Source organism: Homo sapiens, chromosome 3 (assembly GCF_000001405.40).
Source record: "Homo sapiens chromosome 3, GRCh38.p14 Primary Assembly".
Taxonomy (NCBI): Eukaryota; Metazoa; Chordata; class Mammalia; order Primates; family Hominidae; genus Homo; species Homo sapiens.
This window is the reverse complement of record NC_000003.12, coordinates 64230441-64247368: the sequence shown is the minus strand read 5'-3', so window position 1 is coordinate 64247368 and position 16928 is coordinate 64230441. Positions and strand designations below refer to the sequence as shown.

Here is a 16928-nt window from a genome sequence, read left to right as displayed (position 1 = left end):
ACATGGAAAGGTAGTATAAATAGGATGGTGATGCTTTAAAAAAAAACTCACTGATATCTTTTCTGCACATTAAAATGCATGCATAGTAATAGTTGCTATTATCAAAGTATATTTTAGGAGTCTTCTGTTCAAATGGGGAAAAAGTATGATATATATAATTAAAATGTGTCGTCTATTCAGGGAGCCTGGCCTGCTAGAGGACGTTTTACTAGAAGGTGACCAGGCAAGAACCCTAGATTCTAGGGGCAGCTCGGCCAGTTGCTACCAGCACTGTGGCTTTGGACAAGTCACATGACCTGTTTTGGTTTCAGGATTTTCATCTACAAAATGAAATGCTTAAATATGTGATTTTTACAAAATGGACTTCGATTGAACCATGGAGGCTGTATTTCGGAGCTTCCTGTGAATAAGTATTGCTGAGAATGAATGAATGTGGCTACATCGTGCCCCTCCTCTGGGATTCCTCAGTGTATTAGAAGGCAGGATAGTCCAGGGGAACCAGAGAACTTTATGAGGGTACTTTCTACCAATAATTTTTGAAATGAAGGCAGACATGTAGCAAAGGAAAGTAAAACCTTTGGCTGTGAACTGGACCAAAGTCTTTAGACATATCTTAGCCTTTCATGCTTAAGCATCTAATTTAGTGTTCCTCAAAGTGTGATCCACATATCAGCAACATCAGTTTTACCAGCACCTGGAAAGTCGTCAGAAATGCAAAGTGTCAGCTCCACCCACCTCAGACTCGCTGAAAAACACATTGGGGTTTGGTCCACGGGCCCAACAATCTGTATTTAACAAGCCTTCCAGATGATTCTGTTGCACATTAAAGTTTTAGAAACACTGATCTAACTGAACTCAGACCACAGGCATTATCAAATAGAGAAATACGAAGATCAAAAAGAAAGAAAAGAGAATTTTATTCTTATGTTGGAAGGTAGGGTTGTGGGGGTGCTATAGGTTGGGTCACGGTTATCTGAGAAGATCACTAAAGTTTTTTCCAACTTCAGGGCTCTGTTTTTAATAGCATCGTCAAGATCCCTTGTACAGCGTTTTTTAAAGGTAATTATAGCAATGAGGTTTTCCAAGGAAGAGAGGTGTACAGTTTTTGTTTTTGTTTTTGTTTTTTTGAGATGGAGTCTTGCTTTGTCGCCCAGGCTGGAGTGCAGTGGGATGATCTCAGCTCACTGCAACCTCTGCCTCCCAGGTTCAAGCAATTCTCTTGCCTCAGCCTCTTGAGTAGCTGGGACTACAGGCACGCACCACTACACCGGACTAATTTTTGTGTTTTTTGCAGAGGGGTTTTGCCATGTTGGCCAGGCTGGTCTCGAACTCCTGGCCTCAAGTGATCCACCTGCCTTGGCCTCCTGAAGTGCTGGGATTACAAGTGTGAGCCACCACACCCAGTGGTTTTTAAATGATATTCAGGAGAGCTCAAACCGATAGGAAAAGTCTCAGTGAATTATCATTTAATGAGAGAGAACCCCATCTTTGCAGAAATAACTAGGTTATTGGCAAATTGAGAGCACACATGGTTATTCAGACACCTGGTCCTTTCACTCCTGCCTTCTTTTAAACCTAAAAGCTCTGAGACTAAATGTAGATTTCAAACCCTGGATCTTCAGCTGAACAATGCTTAGCTGCCCATTCCGTTGGATTTAAAACTTTCTCAGGAATCATCCATTGGTACAAAAAGAGGAATCCTCCCCCATGCCTCTCTGGATTTGAATGGTTGGCCCAGACAGGAATACTTACATTGCCTGGTCAAAAGCCCCAGAACTGCTCAGTGCAACCTCCTAAAGTCTGTTGCAACACACGTCACCTCTTCAAGGTTATCATTTTCCTTTAAGATCTTCTATTGTTATGAGGGCGGACACTGATTCCAAACAGAAGCAGCAATCTACATGTAGAATATGTGTTTCAGAGTACTCTGAATGCTCTGTCTAAAAGTGGAAAGATGAGACTGAGAGGTGAGGGCCACTAGCATTGAGATAGCCGTGACTACAAAAAAAGACTTCTAATCCAGTATTTCCCAGTTTTCCCAGCCTGAGAAACCCCATAATTCTTGCAGAGATAAGCTTTCCCGTCCTTCCTTATCTGACCCATCTAAACTTTTTTGTTGTAGAACACTTTCAAACACTAGAATTTTTGGCAGGACATTTTAAGGAATTGGAGTTGAGCTTTATTTTTTCTTGTTAAATCAAGCTTTGGAAAAATCGAAAAAAAATTCTAGCATTATCCAGTGAACACACATTTTTTCTCTTAGAAAAATCGGCTTGAAATTTTCTGTGCTTCTTACCTCTTATTAGTAATAATTTACCCTATTGACAACAAGTGGCTAAATAACTTAATTCCACATTCTTTAGATTGGTAGCGATGTTATGGTAGGCATCTATGATTGAAAAAATAATTTACACACATGGATCAAAACTTGGCAGCCTGGTTTTGAAATATTCGGGGTATATTCATGTGTGCTATGACATACTGGTTGAGAACCATTGGTCTACCCACAACCGCAGTAGAATCATACCTGTGTATTACATATGTAATGATACTGCTCTTTTTTGAGCCATGAGCCACTTGACCCAATTACCGTGCTATATTTCTGCTATATGTTGGTGACCAGATGAAGCCTAGGTCATGCTAAGTTGTGTTTTGTGGCATGTATGAATATATCCATTCCCATTTTTTCGCTTTCTGTCTCTCTCTCCCTGTCTCGTTCTCCCTCTCTATCAGACACACACACACACACACACACACACACACACCAGTCATTCACTTTTTCTCCTCTAGGTTTATCATAGTTTCCCCTTTTATCATCATCACCTAGTGGCCAACATCAGAATGTCTAGCATATGTTCACTAAATCCAGGGTAATTGAAAATCAGCCCTGGCCAGGGAGAGCTCCTTCCTAAATATGACTTGGTAATTATCCCCGACATTTTCAAGTGAGAGACTAATTATTGCATCAGTTACTACATAATTCCCTTTGCCAGTTAGCTCATCTTATATCCTCCCTGAAAATGACAAGACACAAATAAGTATACAAATTGGAGCATGTTAAGATGGTGTTTTTGCATTTGAACTGAGATTCCAGGGTATCCAGCCTTGGTTACCAGTGGCAGCACAAACATTTTCACTGAGTAAAATTAAACAGAAGGTGTTCCAGGACTGTGGTTGATTTCGACAGAATATCAAGGCCAAAATACGGTAACTTCCCAAATGCTATAAGGGTTGCTCTGAGCCACTGCTTTGATTCCATGCAAGTTAACATTTCTATTCATCCTGTTAGTTTTTCTGTTGTCTTTGATTCGTCATGGCATCAAACAGGTGATGGGTCTTCCCTGAAAGATGCAACTTTTCCTATTCCATAATTTGGCTGCCACAAATTGGAATACTAACAATTATGACATGAAAGAGCATGGGTAGTACAGAAATAACATACTAGGAGGCTCACAGATACCATTTTATTGGGGTAAAATGAGACAGGGCATTGAGAACAGTGATCAAATATGTATATTTCTTGGACAAGTAGACTGGGTCCTAACCAAAATTAGTCTTCTTGTTTCTGAGCCTCAGTTTACTCATCTCTGAGATGAAGTGATTAAATCTGTCATCTTCTAACATCGTTTTTCTTAATAATCATAACTGACATTATTATAGCACTATTACTATGTGTCAGGCACTCTGCTAAGGGCTTCATCTGCATAATCTCCTTTAATCCTCAGAATACTATTATCTGTCCCCATTTTACACTGAAAGCCTCAAAGAGGTTGAATAATTCACACAGCTAGTAAGTGACAGAGCTGAGATTTCTACCCAGGTATGACTGATACCAGAATCTGTGTTCTCATCCTCTACCTTATATGAACCCCAAAGTAGCATGTGACAAGATAGGATTTCTAAAATGATTCTAGACCACTGGTTCCCAAGGGGGGCAATTTTGTCCGTCAAGAATATTTGGCAATTTCTGGAGATATATTTGGTTTTCACGACTGGGGAAAGGGTGACCAGTGGCATCTCATGGATATAGGTCATGGGTACTGCTGAACACCATGCAATACATGGCACAGCCTCCAACAACAAAGAAATTGGCATGAATTGTCTATAATGTCAAGGTTGAGAAATGCTGTTCTAGGCCCAATAAAGAAATGGGTACATCATTGAAACTTTCTGTTTTCTACTGTCCACAGACAATTTTTTAAAAAGCTGTCTTCAAGGGATGACATTCCTGTTTTTAGAGTTTTTGCACACATGCACTTCATATTCCCACTCTCAGTACATGGTTGTATTTAAAAGCCACAGGTTTTGGTATAAGACAGACCTAAGTCCAAATCCCTGCTCTCTCACTTTCTGTTTTTCTTTGGGGCCATCACCTAAACTCTTAGGCCTCCTGTTTCTCATCTCTCAGATAGAAACAATTATTCTCTGTCTTGGGATGACTAGGATATAGTAAGTGCTCAGTAAATAGTTATCTTCTTTCAGCAGTGCTTCTCTTTCCTTTTGTAAATATCTCAGTCAGACTGTGCTCCTCTTACAGATGACCAGGTACACTCTTGGCCCCATCATTAATGCTGGCAGGGTGCACAGATTGCCATTCACAGACTGATGCTCACTGTCTTAGACACACAGGAACTGGAGTGGGTGAAGTGTACCCAAAGAGAAGCAGCTGTAAAGCAATGATGGCCCAATGTGAGTGTAGGGGGAGGAGCAGTAGAAGCCAAAGAATCTGGGAATCTTGGCCCCTGGCCAAGTCGTCCACTGAAGTGGACTCTCAGGGTTGGCTAGTTTTATTGTAGAATACATTGTTGCTCTATACTGTAAATGGAAAATTAACTTGTGTAACCAGTCAAACAATCTTTGTGATTATTTGCGGAGCATACCACCCAGATAAGCTGAAGATTTATGTATTTTCTTTTAAAATACCTTTTCTAGGGTAGACAGGGTGGGAAAGAGGGTATAAGTTGAAGAAAGGGGGTTGGGAAGTGATTAGGTGAAGGAATTTCCTTCATGGAAACACTCCTAAGGAAAATGTGCAGTTGGATATGCTGCGCTTAGTTCATGAAATGTAAGTTAAAATGCAAGGTTCTAGCTAGACTGCTAAGAAGGTGACATTAAATATGCCCTTTTCCTTCTTTCAGAAAAAGATCATTATTATTATGTGCACATTATTTATTTATTTGCGGTAGTGTGGGGACAGAAGAAGAGGAAAGAAAAGCGGGATGAAGGTGGAAGGCTCCAAATAAGACCTCTGATCCCTTAAGCTGCTTGCAAAAAAGAGAAAAGATAATTAGAAGGCACACTTGGCATCCCAAGCTTCCCAAAGAACCCTTCAGCTAATCTGAGCGAAATAATATACATGGAGGGATTTCTCCTCCACGATCTCTCATTTGCAGGGTATGAGGTGGAGAATGAGAGGACTGATGTGGTAGACTATTATCCATTTTAATTTCAGGACATGTTTAGATACCTGGTGGGTTTTGTTTTGTAGGGAAACAAAACAAAATAAAACATTTTCCCTTGCTTTGGCCAACGCTGAAGGCATGATTGGGGCTGCCGACAATCAGGCCCTTTTGTGTTGCCTTCCCAGACAGTACTGCTGACGTGCTCTCACAGCATTCCTGTGAAGGAAGCAGAAGAGGGATGATTTCTGCAGCAGGACACAGGAAGAAACAGCCTCTGAGATGGTCAAGGTCTTGCTCAAGTTGCAAAGTCAAGGACAGATCAAGAGCTGTGGCCCTCATCCCTGAATTCTAAACCAGGCTTCATACCATGGTGGTATTGGAGCACTTTAGAGACAATTGAGATGAGGGGGTGGGGATTCATATAGTATAAAATACTGAAAAGCTGGTAGGTGTTAAAATATGCATGCATGCACACATAAGTACATAACCATGTTACTTACATATATACATGTATGTGTATGCACACATGCATTTATGTCAATATAAGTAGATGAATAAGAGAAACGAGCAGGATAATAAATGTGAGCTGACTCTCCGCCCTGGTGTTTCAGAGAGAAGAACTGGGGACTGTGGAAAAGTGTAGAATGTGTCCCCACTAAAAGAGGGCTGTATCAGTCAGCTCCAGCTGGTGGCTGCCTCCTAGGAGCTTGAGCTCAGCGTATCCAGATGTTGTTGTTAAGAGGAGCCATTGTATAGGTAGAGAGTTGGGAAACTACAACTTGTAGGTGCCTGTTTTGATAAAGTTTTATTGAAATATAGCAATGCCCATTTGTTTGTATACTGTCTGTGACAGCTTGCATTCTATGACAGCAGAGTTGAGTAGTTGTGACAGAGACTAAGTGGCCTTCAGAACCTAACATATATACCACTTGGTCCTTTACAAAGTTTCTCGACCTCTGGTGTAGACCCAATAGTATGCTTATGTGGGCCAAATTCCAGCTCCATGCCACCAACTGGCCATCCTGGACCCTCAGAGGCTCCTCTAGCCTCTGCCATTGCTCACCCCTTCCTCTTCTTGGCCATAAAAAGAAGTTGTTGGGGATTATTTAGACCATTGGTTCTCCAAATGAAACCTGTGTGCCTAATCCCCTGGAGAGCTTGTGGAAACTCAAATGACCAGACTCCATGCTCAGAGTTACAGATTCTGTAGGTCTGGGTAGGGCCTGAGAATCCACACTTTAAACAAGTTCCCTGGTGATACTGAGGCTGCTGGTCCAGGATCATGTTGTGAGAACCGCTGGCTCAGACATTCCATGCTGTGGGGGAGATCTGAAAGCACCTGGCCTACCAAGCAAGTGACTAAGTTGTCCAGAGGAGAGGAATTAATTCTGTAGGCCCCATGGGACCGATTCACTGAGGCATTTCATAGCCCACACAGGGACTTTAAGCAAAGAATTCTGTGGATCCCGGGAGTCCTGCAGAGTTCCTATATTTCCTCAATTTGAAGAGTATCCCTTGGGCTCCATTCAGGCCCAACTCCATTTAGCCTGCAAAGAGGCATTAGCTATATATAAAATATTCAGTATTTCCCATCATTGGTGGTGCTATGCAGAGGAGCTGTAGCTTGTTTAATCCTTCATTCACTGACAAGCACAAGAAACTTGATTAGACCTGGAGTACCTGTTCTTCCAACTGTTTTCCTTGGCCTGGTCAATGTCTTGGTGACCTCATGGCCTCCCCATGTAACTGGCCAAACCCAGGTGTCCCTTATATCACATTCGACTCAATCCTAGGATGGAATGGAAAGAACAGATTCAGCAGGCTAAATGAAAATTTTATTTATTTTTTGAGACAGGGTCTCTGTCGCACAGGCTGGAGTGCCGTGGTGTGAACACAGCTCCCTGCAGCCTCGACCTCCCAGCCTCAAGTGATCCTCCTGTCTCAGCCTCCCAAGTAGGTGAGACTATAGTCACATGCTGGGCTAATTTTTTTTTTTTTTTTTTTTTTTTTTTTTGGTAGCGATGGGGTTTTGTCATGTTGCCCAGGCTGGTCTCAAACTCCTGGGCTCAAGCAATCTACCTGCCTTGGCCTCCCAATGTACTGGGATTACAGGCATGAGCCACAGCACCAAGCCCTACATGGAAAATTTAAGAACAGTAATAAATAAAAGAAAAAGGAAATCGATTCAGAAATTAGACGGATGCTTACACTTAATAATTATTTTGATTTCTCTGAGCCTCAGTTTTCTTATCTGTGATAAGCAACCATAGGTATAACCTTGAAGGGTTGCTATGAGGGTTGAATTAGATTTGTGTCTGCAGTAAATGTCACCTATAAATCTGGCTTATAAATCACCTCCCCTCCCCTGTCCCTGTGGCTGGGAGTGCCTGATAGCAATTATCTTAGAGAGTCCCAAAGGATTACAGGATTACAGGCCTTCGGAATGTCTGTGGATAGCACCTGGTGGCTCAGATTTGGCTCTGCCAAAGGATCCCTCCGGGAAGCATCTCCATGTTCCCTGGGCAGCTATCTCCGGCCACTGGCTGACTGTAACTTTCTTTCATTCCTGGTGTTTCTTATTGCAGAATATGTCTCCCCTCATCCCAGCGAGCTGAACCTCCTCTGTGTATCTCTGTTTTGGCCACGCTCCTAACAGCCCTTCCTTCCACAGCTGCCCCAGCTGTGATGAGTTGAGCAGAGAGGACGCTGCCAGCCCCCCGCCCCCCAGCAGGGCTCTGTGTGCTCCATTTAAGGGAAGAGGAATGTGGTGCCTGACGGATGAGTCAGAGGCTGCTACCTCGCCCTGTGGTGTGTGGAGCCGGCTGTGAGGTGCATGCCTGGCCCCCTCAGAGGAGGGTGCTAAATAATTCGCCAAGGCAGTCTGCTCTGACATCCGTCTGGGCCTGTCCCCTGGTGACCCTGAGGATGCACCAGCAGGGCTCCTGCTTGCTGTGGCATCTCAGGGAGCTAGAAGAATAAACAGGCAGCCTGAAAACTGCCCTGGCTGCCAGGGATTCCATGGGCTTGGGTTGGGTGGGCTGACTGGTGTCTGCTGATGGCCACTCAAATCAGAGGGCTTCAGATGCCCTCGCTGTACAGAGCAAGATTGATAGTGTGTTTATACTCAGACTTGATAAACATTTAGTAAGCACCTGCTGTATGTTTGGCAATTTTACCTGCATTACCTCATATAATTCAGAAAACCCATGTGGCAGAGATTCTTAGATGAGACTCAAAGAAGGAAAGTGACTTGTCCCAATTCACACAGCTAATAAGAAGGGGTAGGGACAGAACTTGCCTTACCCCACCTCCTGCCTGACACAGTGCCTGTTATCCAGAGGTCCTTGGCAGCAGGGGACCTTTTCTCCCTCTTACAGACACTGGCTCTCTTGGTGATTCAGACCCCTACATGTTAGCCCTAATTCTACCAAGTTTTCTTTTTTCTTTTCTTTTCTTTTCTTTTTTCTTTTTTTTTTTTTTTGAGACGGAGTCTCGTTCTGTTGCCAGGCTGGAATGCAGTGGCGTGATCTCGGTTCACTGCAACCTCCACCTCCCGGATTCAAGTGATTCTCCTACTCAGCCTCCCGAGTAGCTGGGACTACAGGCAGGCACCATCATGCCCAGCTAATTTTTGTACTTTTAGTAGAGACGAGGTTTCACCATGTTGTCCAGGCTGGTCTCAATCTCTTGACCTCGTTCGTACCTGCCTGCCTTGGCCTCCCAAAGGGCTGGGATTACGGGTGTGAGCCACCCCACCCAGCCAATACTACCAAGTTTTCTAAAAGGAAGCACGTTGTGGTATATAACTAAACCTCTTCTGTTCATTTCAACTGTTTCAGGTTCTGATACCTGCTTCTTATAGTTTGGACCCTGCTTTGGTCTGGTCCTCCCCTGATCAAGATGGTGGCTGCAAGGCCATTTTCAAAATGATGGCCTTGTCCACTGAACTTCTTGCTCTCAGGGAGGGTTGACAGTCTTCAGGCAGAATTCCCAGCAACCTCCTGCAGGGTTTGAGTTAGCCTAGGGGTGGAAGAGTGAAAAGCAGACTTGGAGGAGGAGAATGATGGACAAACAAACAAGAAAGGGGCTTTTTCTCATCCTGGCAAGCCAAGAGGAGTTAGTTCTGCAGTTCTAGGAAGGTAAATTTTGTACAATACATCCCACAGAATTTACCTTCATGGCTACTGTCTCCTTATGATATGGACAGGAGGCAGGGAAATACTAGGCAGAAAAGGGTGGGGCCCCCCGGTGAAGCCCTACCCTCAAGCCTGGATGCGTGGCCCAAAGTGAGAACATGCATTCCTGTTTTCCTGCCCAAATTTTGCCTTTTCCAAAACTAACCTGGTCTGCCCCACCTCCCATCCTGTAGCCATAAAAACCCCAGGCTCCACTGGCAGAGGAGCAGGGCAGAGAGGTGGAGTGGCAGAGTGGCAGGAAAGGAGAGAAGAGAAGGAGCTGAATGTCCAAGAGAAGCAACTTGATTTCACAGGGATGGCTTGGCAGTGGGACCTCGGAGAAGAGTTCGGCCGGAGATGGCCGAACTCCAGGGGAAGACTACCTTCCCACTCAATCCCCTTTCCAGCTCCCCATCCCACTGAGAGCCACTTTAATTGGCAATAAAATCCTCCACATTTATTATCTTCAATTCATTTGTGCAACCTGATTCCTGCTGGATGCCAGACAAGGACCAGGGTGCAGATGCAACAGGCTGTCACACTGACCCTCCACTGAGCTAACACTTAAGCCATCCACAGATGCCAAAACTAAAAGAGCACATTGTAACATACGCCCTCTGGAGCTCTGGGGCTCATAGACAATCCCTAGACACTGCTGCGGGCTTGCATGGAGTTCTCCTCCTGCCGATTGCCCATAAGTGCTCATCCTGGCCTCTGAACCCACTCACCTGCGTGCTCCCCATCCTGTGAGGCGTTGAGAGCTGTAGGCTGAATAAATGAGCCAACCCCTTCATGAGTCCCACAAAGGGGTTAAGGGAACTATCCCATTTCACTCAGATGCAGAGATCACCGCAGCATGATAAGTGGGAAGATCTATGATTACTCTTTGGCAGATAATAATAGTACCTTACACTTACTGAGCACTCCTGGTGTATTTGACACCATACAAAGTGCTTTGTGAAGATAATACAATTGTCACCGTCATTCATGTTTTTCAGAGGAGGCTTCTGAAGAGCAGAGAGGTTAAATAACTTTGTCCAACATCACACAGACAGCAAGAGCCATAGCCCAAGGATCAAACACAGACTCTTAATTCTAATACCAGGGTGAGTTCCATTATAGCAGGACTTTCTTTCAAACCAAGATAAATTAGATGTCTTTTATTTATTTAGAGCAAGTTATTTATAGGTCTTATGGAATATTTAAGATTAGAAGGAACAGAGCTAGGATCCAGTTCAATGGTTTGAGGGATATGTAAGCTGTAGTTACATTCCTCATTCTCTTTTTTTTCATCAGTCACCTGGCTAATGAAATTCACAGATGTGACAGTGTCCCTAGGCTGTGATTAGCTTGGGTTACTAATTGTCATAACCATGGATAAAGAACATCAGCTGTGGCAGTTTATGGTTGGCTATGGCATACATAGGATAGGCTGTGGGTCATGGGCATTTCTTCTTTCATTTCTTTATTCAACCCATATTTATTGAGGACCTACTATGTGCCAGGCATTTTTCTGGGCCCTGGGGATCGAGGGCTGAATAAAACTGACATAAAGCAGCATAAACAAGTCAAACATATCATGATCTAAGTATGCTAGGTGTTGGGCATCAACTTCCAGTATGGCAGTGTGAGGAGCATGGTAGACTCTTTAATCAACAAAACAATCATTTGCCGAAAATTATTTTAAAATATAAGCAACCTTTTAAAGTTTCTGGAAATTGTCCCAAGGGTATACAACAAATGGAAAAACACAAGGAAATCTAAATCTTAGTAAGAAGAGTGAGAGTCTATGGCATTTTAACCATGATCCTCTCTTCTCCAGGTACCCCTGCCACATACTGCCCCTCCCCCAACTACACACACACAACGCAGATCAGTGTGATGGAAACTCCACTCTGGGTATGTTCAGTCAAGCAGATTGGGCTCTTTCTCCACCTAGCTTCTAGTCTCGGGCTATGCTTTCACACTGGGAGGGGCAGCCTCAAAGACTGGCAACACCCTACCCTTGCAAAGGAACCCAGCTTTCATCAGATCAGACTGTGGAACAATTTATGCCAAAAGGAATTGTCAAAACAATAGAACAATCAGCTAGTGATTAGTGGAGGTTAACTGTTGGGTGTGATATCAATAGGAAAACTGGTCTCAGGCCCTCCGGAGGGACATCAGAAGCTGCACACTGCCAGGGAAACAGACTTCGCTCAACTTGTCTGCCTAGCCACTAGACAAATAAGCAAACAACAACAAAAAGCTCCAGAAGGGGGGCAGGGTGGTGGTGCACAGTCAATATCCAGAATTGCTATAATATAGTATCTACAATGTCCATTTTTCAACAAAATATTTTGAGACATGCAAAGAAACAGAAAAGTGTGACCTATATACAGGAAGAAAACAAAAGTAACTGCCCGTGAGAGGGTCCAAATGTTGGAGCTAGCAGGCAAAGACTTCAAAGCAACAATTATAAATGTGTTCAAAGAACTACATGAAACTTTCTAAACAATTAAAGGAAGGCATGATGACAGCATCTCATCAAGTAGAGAATATCAGTGAAGAGAAATTGTTAGAAAAGAATTATAAAAATGAAAATTTTGAGTTGAAAAGTATAATAACTGGAATGAAAAATTGACTAGAGGGGTTCAAGAGTAGATTTTAATCTGACAGAAGAAAAATATTGGCAGATTTGAAGGTAGGTCAATAAAGATTGTGTATGCTGAAGAGCAGAGAAAAGAGAGTGAAAATAAATAAACAGAGCTCCTAAGAAATGTGAGATACCATCAAGCACACCTACATATGCTTACTGGGACAAGTAAAAGAGGAGAGAGAAAAAGCTGAAAAAATATTTGAAGAAATAATGGTAGAAGACTTCCGAAGTCTTATGAAAAGTATTAGTCTACACATCCAGGAAGCCAAAGTACTCCAAGTAGGTAAGCTCAAAGAGATTCACACTCAAACACCTCATAATCAAAATGTTGAAAGACAAAAAGAAAATCTTGAAAACCGCAAGAGAAAACAACTCATCACTTACAAGGGAACGACAGCTGACTTTGTAGTTCTGGCAGAGACCTAGAAGAATGCTCTTAAAAAGCGGAACTGAAGTACAAGGGAAAAAAGAAAAAATAGATAAACGAACTTTATCAAAATTAGAAATCTTTATGCTTCAAAGACACTATCAAGAAAAAGGATATACCCCACATGATGGGAGAAAACATTTATAAATCATATATCTAATAAGGGACATGTTCCCAGAATATACAAGGAACTTTTATAACTTACTAATTTTAACACGTGTGCCCAATTTTAAAATGAGCAAAAAATTTGAATATACGTTTCTCCAAAGAAGGTATGCAAATAGCCAACACACATATGAAAAGATGTTTAACATTATTAGCCATTAAGCAAGTGCAAATAAAAACCACTATGAGGTATTACTTCATACCCACTAGGATGACTATAATAAAAAAGACAGTAACAAGTTTTGGCAAAGATGAAGAAATGGGAAGCTTCAGATATCACTTGTGAGAATGTGAAACTGGAGGAGCACTTTGAAAAACTGCTTGATGGTTCTATGAAATGTTAAACCTAGAGTTATACGACCCAGCAATCCCACTACTAGATATGTATCCAAGGAAAATAAAAAGCATGCATCCCCACAAAAACTTATACGTGAATGTTCATAGTAGCATTATTTATAATCATAAAGACTGGAAACAACCCAAATATCCATCAATTGATGAATAGATGAATATGATGTATATTAGTACAATGGAATATTACTCTGTCATAAAAAGAATGAAATTCTGATATAAGCTACAGGATGAACCAAAAATACACTAGGTGAAGAGCCAGGCACAAAGGGCCACATATTATATGTTTTCACTAATATAAAATGTCAAGAATAGGCAACTCTATAGAGACAGAAAGTAGATTAGTGTTTGCCTAGGCCTGGAGCAGTGGGACAAGTGGGGAGTGACTACTGCTTACTAGAGGGTTTCTTTTTGGATTGAAGAAAGTTTTAAAGTTAGATTGTGGTGATGGTTGTACAACCCTATGAATATACTTAAATGGGTGAGCTGTATAGTATATTAATTATATTTCAATATAACTCTTCTTAAAAGGATCTAAGGAGAAAAATAAAGTAGGGAATTGTTTGGCCATGTTAGTAAGATGCGGGAAGGATGACAATCTCAGATAGGATGGTAAGACTTAGCCCTCACCAAGGTGACATTAGACTTGAAATAGTGACAGAGCAAGCCACATGACTTTCTGCAGGAGGAATATTTCAGACAAGTGCAAAGACCAGGAGGCACACATGTGCCTGGCATGTTTGAGGGCCAGTGTTCATGTGACAGGAAGGGAGACAGTAGCAGGAGATAGTGTCGGAGAAGCAATAGGACCTAGATCTCCAGGGACTTATTCTGAGATGAGCAGCATCACCAGTGTAGTCTTGAGCAGAAGCATGGCATGCTGCAATGTTTGTTTTCAGAGAATCAAGATGACTGCAGTTTTGTGAATAGACTGAAGGGGAGCAATAATAGACCAGGTAGGAGGCAAGAGTTGATGGTGACTTGGAACTTCATCCAGGAGAGAAATGGCAGTGGCATGGACCAGTGTGATGATGGTGGAGGAAAGATATTAGATCCTGTGTATATTTTGACAGTAGAGCTAACGGGATTTGCCAAGGGCTGGAAAATGTTCAGTGTCAAGGACCAGAGTGTAAATGTATTAGGCTTTGCAGGCTGTACGTTCTCTGTTACAATGACTCAACCCTGCCATTGTATCATGAATGCAGCCATAGATAGCACATAATGAATGGTCATGATTGTGTTCCAATAAAAGTATTTGCAAAAACGTGAAGCAAACCAGATTTGGCCTGTGGGATATAGTTTGTCAACCTCCTCTGGATTAGATGTCAGGGGTGAAGGATGGCTCAAAGGTATTTGTTCTCATCCGTTGGGAGTGTGGAGTTGCCATTAACTGAGATAGCAAAGACTACAGATGGAGCAGATTGTGGGGGATATGGTGTGGACTCAACTGGGAATTAAGAGATGGAGATGTGACATAGGCAGTTGGTCTTGAGATCATGGAAAAGGTCTCGCCTTGAGTCATCAGCCTAAAGGTGTGTTTAAGACCCTACCCTAGACCAGAGAAGCAAATGTAGATATACAGGAGTCCCAGGACTTAGCCGCAGGTTCTCCAGCATTAAGCTCTGAAGGAGATGAGCATGAGCCAGCAAAAGAGCCTGAGAAGGAGCAGCCAGAGGGTAGGAGGGAAAGCAGGAGAATGTGGCATCCTGGAAGCAAAGCTAAGAAGTGTTTCAGTGAGCTGAACTCCATCCTTTCCTTTCCCACTCACAAGAGTATGTTGGAATGCAAATGAACAGAGAGGTATTCTTACAGGAATAATCCTGAAATTCCTCTAATTTCTAGATTAGAAGAAGCATTGTCAAGCTTTTTATTAATTCCAAAAATGTTCATTAGCTGTCAGGCCACAAAGCAGTAGATCCTTTGAATAGAATGGTGAGCCACAAAAGGCATGGTCTCTGCTCTTAGGCCACATAGAGTCTGGTTAGTAAGAGAGAGAGGTTAATCACATAATCGTTAACATTGACCAAGGATGGATCATCATAACTAACCAAGGATGTAGAACTGTGAACCAGAATGAGAGTCCTAAGGGAAAGGACACACATCTAAGAGTGCAACACTCTATGTACTCTTCCCTTGTACAAAGGAATTGATCTAATCTGATGGCACAGGGAACCTTCTGTGTTTTTCTGTTTTTAATAACACATTATTTCCCACACTTCACACCCTAATGGGAACACACCTGGTTTTTGTTTTTGTTTTCGTTTTTGTTTTTAGAGGAAATTTGTGATCCTCTGAAGTAAAGGAAAGAATATGGGTTTTGTCGTCAGACCCAAGACCAAACTTCAGCTGTGGACCCTTGCATCATTCTTTTATCCTCTTTGGACCTCTGCATCTTCATCTGTATGATAGGGGATAATAAATGCTACATTTTTGGTTTATGGTGAGGACTAAATGAGATAAAGTATGCAAGATGTCTGGTATGTCCAGTCCTCCTCATTCCTTTAGAAAAACAATATTTTAGTTTGTACCTCTGTGGCATTTTGTAGTAATAATTTTTCTTGAGCAGGTCTTTGTTGCCAGTTTGCTACTTTATGAGGCAGAGAGTTTTTAGCCTTTTTCTAGGATATCATTCATTTTGCCAATGTTCTCTTCCAAGAGAAACGTGTAGGAACCTGAGTGTTCGTATTTAGGGAATACTGAAAAACCAGAGCATCCCTGTACAGATCTTTGTTGTTCTCCTAGTCCTTTACATAAAGAAAATTCAGGTTTCAGCTGTTTAATGAAAATTAGTAGTTCCCAAAACCTGCCATTATAAGTGCAGCTTTCTTTGTCTAAGGAAAAACCATTTGCTAGCACATCATGTCAGTTTAACAATATTTTCATGGAAATGTGCAATGGTATGCCTAGTGAAATCATTGATGCAATCTTTAATGTTTTTGTGGGGAGGGAGCAAAATCTTTAGCACTCTTTCATTTTGATGTGCACAGTCTAGCCTGTCCATATTTCTCATTTTAATTAATGTAATTAAAAGAGGATAAAAGGCTGTGTTAAAATTTTGTGTGTTAGATTATCGGGATCAAGAATAATTAAAATGTATGAAATGTGACAGATTCCTAAGATGATAGGGAAAAAGGAAGGCCCCTTTTCTGAATTTAAAGTGTACCAAATTATTTTTCACAAGATTTAGAAATGTCCATGGATAAGAAGCGTTTATGATATGGAATCTTCACAAATGGACAAGACAGAAGGCTTGAGGGGGTGCTTGTCCTTATGTTATCATGAACAGTTTTATCATTTATATTTGCAGCTCTCCTTCCTGTTGCCTTCTTTGGAAACCAAGTGGAGAATAATATTGATTTAACACCTACTATATGCTAGGTACTCTACACAGTACTTTATATATCTCAGTTCATCTAATCTTACCGAAGCCTTTGATAAAGAGATGTCTCCATTTTATAGATGGTGAAACTGAGGCTTAGAGGTGAGGTAGCTGTCATCTGCTAGGTCATGCTGCTAGGAGGTAATTGGGCCAGATGTGAATTCAGGTCTTTTTTGTTGGAGTTTTTCAATGACAATACTCTGCCCGTTGCAGGAGGCAGATTATCAGTATGGATTAGAAATTGGCTAGAAACTGTTGAGGATAACTCTTTTGAGCATTTCTTTTTTATGAATGCAGCTATGCATCTTTACCTACATTGTAGAAGCTTCACATGTTTCAAATATTTATTTTCTTTATGGTTACGTGGGTTGCCTGTTGTTGCTTGAAAGTT

The 16928-nt window shown here is 42.0% G+C and overlaps 1 protein-coding gene across 1 annotated transcript in view, besides 1 other annotated feature; it reads left to right on the top strand.

The window, feature by feature from the left end:
- Window positions 1–16928, top strand: part of PRICKLE2 (prickle planar cell polarity protein 2) — a 175938-nt gene that overhangs the window by 20805 nt on the left and 138205 nt on the right. The window lies entirely within an intron of this gene.
- Window positions 7691–8449: an enhancer, noted in NCBI's record as "H3K27ac-H3K4me1 hESC enhancer chr3:64224596-64225354 (GRCh37/hg19 assembly coordinates)". NCBI's record gives its function as "activates a minimal SCP1, AML or CMV promoter by ChIP-STARR-seq in naive and primed H9 embryonic stem cells {active_cell/tissue: H9 hESC(naive and primed)}" and the evidence as "EXISTENCE:reporter gene assay evidence [ECO:0000049][PMID:30033119]".